At 40.0% G+C, this 3,498-nt stretch overlaps 1 annotated feature.

Moving 5' to 3' along the window:
• Window positions 542-742: a silencer, noted in NCBI's record as "peak5193 fragment used in MPRA reporter construct". NCBI's record gives its function as "represses an SCP1 promoter by STARR-seq MPRAs in K562 erythroleukemia cells {active_cell/tissue: K562}" and the evidence as "EXISTENCE:reporter gene assay evidence [ECO:0000049][PMID:32103011]".

The raw sequence follows: 3,498 nt of genomic DNA, 5'->3' as shown, positions 1-3,498 counted from the left end.
AGCCCACAGGGAGCCTGCACAGAATTGAGTGCCTAGGTGAAATGTTGCATAGGGTCTTGTGTGTCCACCAGCCATATACTCATCTCCACTGGCACGGCACTAGCTTGGGGCATGTTAATTAAATATCCCAGAACAAGGATCAATTTCAGAAAGAAAGGGAGATATAGTGAGCATACAGAATCCTCAAATTTACTGTGTTTAATATATTGAAGTAATTGAATTTGACAGAGTCTACAAGGAAGTGATTAAATTGGAGTTTCTATTATTACTCAGAAGTGAGGATTTGTGATACAAATTAAATGCAGTTACATGAAAATGATATTGCATGTCTGTACATCTGAATTGGAGGTCTGTGAAAGTCATGCTTCTACCCTCTACTCGGCCTTTGATAATAAAATTGCTCAATGTTTGCTTTAAGTTCTGCCGTATAATTCATTTTTGTTTTCAGTGAGCTTGCTTTTCTTCTGCATGCTTTGCTGAATGCTGACTGGATGTTTTTCCATTTAACCTTAGAAAAGCTTATCTCTCCAACTTGAGTGTTCTTTGTGTGTCTATGTGTTATGCAGTAATATTTCTTTGTCACATTGTGGCCAAGGGAAGGACTAAATCACATTATCTCTGACAGAGAAAATCACTTCCTTCTTGGGGTTACATGAAAATGGATCTCTGTGGTGCAGCTAGGGCTCCACCCCTACAGAAAGGAATAGCTGTTTAACCAGTTGCTACCAATTTTTGTAGCCAAAAATAGTCTGACTTAACAGATAATTGAGCAGACTTTCTATTTGTCTGAATGACTAATATAACTTATTTCCACATTATAAATAGAATTAATGTTTCAGGAGGGGGGCTCTTCAGACAATCTGCTGTATGTGACCTATTCAAATAAGTTTTAACCAAATTACAAAATTTAGTATAAAACATTTTAAATGTACAATACACAACTTTTAACTTGTTGAAAATAAGTATTTCCTTATTGTTGAAAAATTTAATTTAAAAATATAAATTACAGAGAAAAAATACTCAAAGTTTATGAATTTAAATCTATTGGATAGCATAAGTCCATTAAAATCCTGATAGAAAATATTAAAATCTGGATAAACAATGTATAATGCTTTTTTCAGCTTGAAATATTATTCCAAAATAAAGCCTATGATAAATCTAAAAACCGGAGTGAAACTTCATATTTTAGTGCATTCTCATGCTGCTATAAAGAACTGTCCAAGACTGGGTAATTTATAAACAAAAAAGGTTAAATTGACTCAGAGTTCCACAGGACTGGGGGGCCTGAGGAAGCTTACAATCACGGCGGAAGATGAAACAAACACCTCCTTCTTCACCTGGCAGCAGGAGAGAGAAGTGCTGAGCAAAGGGAGAAAAGCTTATAAAACTGTCAGATCTTGTGAGAACCCACTCACTATTATGAGAACAGCATGGGGGTTACCACCCCCATGATTCAATTACCTCCCACTGGGTCCCTCCCATGACATGTGGGGATTATGGGAACTACAATTTAAGATGAGATTTGGGTGGGGACACAGCCAAACAATATCACTTTACATATCATTTCAAAATTTTGTAATAGTAAATACTATGCAAATAGACTACACTGTGTGATTCAGACTTCAACTTTAAAAGGAGTCCTTGGCTTTATTACTATAAATTGAGCCCAAATATCTTCACCTATTTCTTTGGTATTTATGGCAATATATCTTGTATTTTTTTTAAAGATATACTAGTTTTTACTCATGCTTCCGGCCTGTGCCTTTTTCTGTAATTAAAGTGACCACTTTATATGGCCTCATGAAATGCCCATGAGAAAGCAGACACTGGTCTTTGTTTGCCTATGTGCTCCAAAGCATGGGATATTTTTTTCTAAGACGACATAATGAAGACCAGCCTTCAATATTATTTCTGACTGAAGATGAGATGAAATCTAAAATGCAGATTAAAGTACTTTTAATAAATGTTCAATGATGATACAGAGTGAAGTACAATATGAAGACAATTTGAAATTAATGCAGAAGCTGACATAATTCTAGGGCTCCTTTTAAAGTCACTTTACTTTTTGATCCCATTCTGCATTTAAAAAGGACACAGGCAGTTTGGCACCCACCTAGGTTACCATAATTAGAAATAATCTGAGTGTATTAGTTCATTCTCACTGTACTATAAAGAACAACCTAAGACTGAATAATTGATAAAGTAAAGAGGTTTAATTGACTCACAGTTCTACAGGCTTACAGGAGTCATGGCTGAGGAGGCCTCAGGAAACTTACAATCTTGGCGAAGCGTGAAGGGGGAGCAACCACATCTTCACATGGTGGTAGGGGAGAAAGAGAATCAAGGGGGAGGTGCTACACTCTTTCCAAACAAGCAGATCCCCTAAGAACTCTATCACAACACAGTACTAGGGGGTTGGTGCTAAACCATTAGAAACTATTCCCTTGATTCAATCACCTCCCACCAGACCTCAGTTCTAACATTGGGAATTACAGTTAACATGGGATTTGGGTGGGGACACAAAGCCAAACCATATCATTCTGACCCTGACCCCTCCTAAATCTCATTTCCTTCTCACATTTCAAAACACAATCATGCCTTCCTAAGAGTCTCCAAAAGTCTTATTTCACTCCAACCTGAACTCAAAAGTCCAAGTCCAAAATCCCATCTGAGAAAAGGCAGAGTCTATGAGCCTGTAAAATTCTGCCTATGAGCCTGTAAAATTAAAAACAAGTTAGGTACTTCTAAGATACAATGGGAGTACAGGCGTTGGGTACATGCTTCCATTCTAAGAGATAAATTGGGCAAAACAAAGGGGCTGCAGACCCCATGCAAATTCAAAACCCAGCAGGGCAGTCATTAAATCTTACAGCTCCAAAATAATCTCCTTTGTCTGCATGTTTCACATTCAGGCCATACTGCCACAATAGGTGGGCTCCCAAGGCCTTGGGCAGACCCACCCTTGTGGCTTTGCAGGGTGCAACCCCTGCAGCTGCTTTCACAGGTTGGCATTGAGTGTCTGTGGCTTTTCCAGGTGCATGGTGCAATCTGTCAGTGGATCTACCATTCTGGGGTATGGAGGACAGTAGTCCTCTTCTCACAGTTGAACTAAGCAATGCCCCAGTGAGGACTCTTTGTGGGGGCTACCCCACATTTTTCATCCAGACTGCCCTAGTAGACATTCTCCATAAGGGCTCTGCCTCTGCAGCATACTTCTGCCTGGACATCCAGGTGTTTCCATACATCCTCTGAAATCTAGGAGGATGCTCCCAAGCTTCAACTCTTTCTCTTTGCATACCTGCAGGCTCCTCACCACATCAAAATGCCAGGGCTTGAGGCTTGCACCTTCTGAAGCAATGGCCTGGGCTCTACCTGGACCCCTGTTAGCTGCACCAGAGGCTGGTGCAGCTGGGATGCAGGGCATCATGGCCTGATTCTGCATAGAGCAGTGGGGCCCTGGCCTGGCCCACAAAATCATGTTTTTCTTCTATGCCTCTG

The sequence above is a fragment of the Homo sapiens genome, chromosome 5, assembly GCF_000001405.40.
Source record: "Homo sapiens chromosome 5, GRCh38.p14 Primary Assembly".
Classification (NCBI taxonomy): domain Eukaryota; kingdom Metazoa; phylum Chordata; class Mammalia; order Primates; family Hominidae; genus Homo; species Homo sapiens.
Note: the sequence above shows the minus strand (reverse complement) of the source record. Positions and strands in the feature narration are given on the sequence as shown.